Source organism: Homo sapiens, chromosome 1 (assembly GCF_000001405.40).
Source record: "Homo sapiens chromosome 1, GRCh38.p14 Primary Assembly".
NCBI lineage: Eukaryota > Metazoa > Chordata > Mammalia > Primates > Hominidae > Homo > Homo sapiens.
In genome coordinates, this window is record NC_000001.11 from 80385349 (window position 1) to 80386327 (window position 979).

Consider the following 979-nt stretch of genomic DNA (forward strand, 5'->3'; position numbering starts at 1 on the left):
ATTTATGTAGACTGAAACTTTGTGGTGATTCAACTGCACTCTGAGATTCCAACAACACATCTATGGCCATACCACCCTGAACCCGTCCAATCTCATCTGAAATTCAAACAACACGTTTCCATTTTAATTACTTAACTGATCGCTTATGTACTTAAAACATGAAATTCTATGCTACTGAAAAGTTAGCTTTTTTTGGAAATTCTCAACATTTGTATGCCATATGCTTTCAAAAAATAAAATATTCAATATTTAATAAAATAATCCCAAACTGAAACTCATCCATTGCAGCTGGAGTTGTTTCTTTATTTAGAATGGTTTACTAAACTTTAGTTGAGGGGGAGATAATTCAGGAAGAAGCCAAGCTTCTCCCAGTAAGACTGTCTTTCTCATCATGCTGAAGGTAATTTTATAACACTCTATTAATGAAAAGATCTAAGCAAGATTAAGAGGCCTCTCCAGGTCCCTCCCACAGCCCAGCATGCACTAAAGTACTTTAAAGGAACTGTTTGCATTGGAATTCTCTCATGCATTAGCACTTAAATCTTTAAAATATCTTTGAAGCCCATCTGCTGCAGAGCTTCATTTTTAATGAAAATGAAAAGGGGCAGTTATAACTGTCTCTAATATACTAGGTCTTTTTCTATAATTCTAATTTGTTGTACCTCAGAGGAGTTCTTTGGAATAGAATTATTTTCTCTCACAAGATAATGAATTCATTGTAAGCTGCTCATAATAGTAACAATCATAGAAAACTGAAATATATCGGCAATAAATAGACCATTTTTCTATCACTTTAGAGTTGTATTCTATAATATATATTAGTTTCTTACAAATTGATATAAAAATCTTTACATATAGTGTCCAACAATATTTTTACACTCAAATGTACAGAGTACATTGTATTTTTGAAATAAATACTTTGAAATTAATAATGTGAAACAAAGAAGAGAATAAAATGTTAATTAATAATTTCCTAATA

The 979-nt window shown here is 30.9% G+C and overlaps 1 annotated feature.

Annotated features, from left to right (window-relative positions):
- Positions 224-753: an enhancer, noted in NCBI's record as "NANOG hESC enhancer chr1:80851257-80851786 (GRCh37/hg19 assembly coordinates)". NCBI's record gives its function as "activates a minimal SCP1, AML or CMV promoter by ChIP-STARR-seq in primed H9 embryonic stem cells {active_cell/tissue: H9 hESC(primed)}" and the evidence as "EXISTENCE:reporter gene assay evidence [ECO:0000049][PMID:30033119]".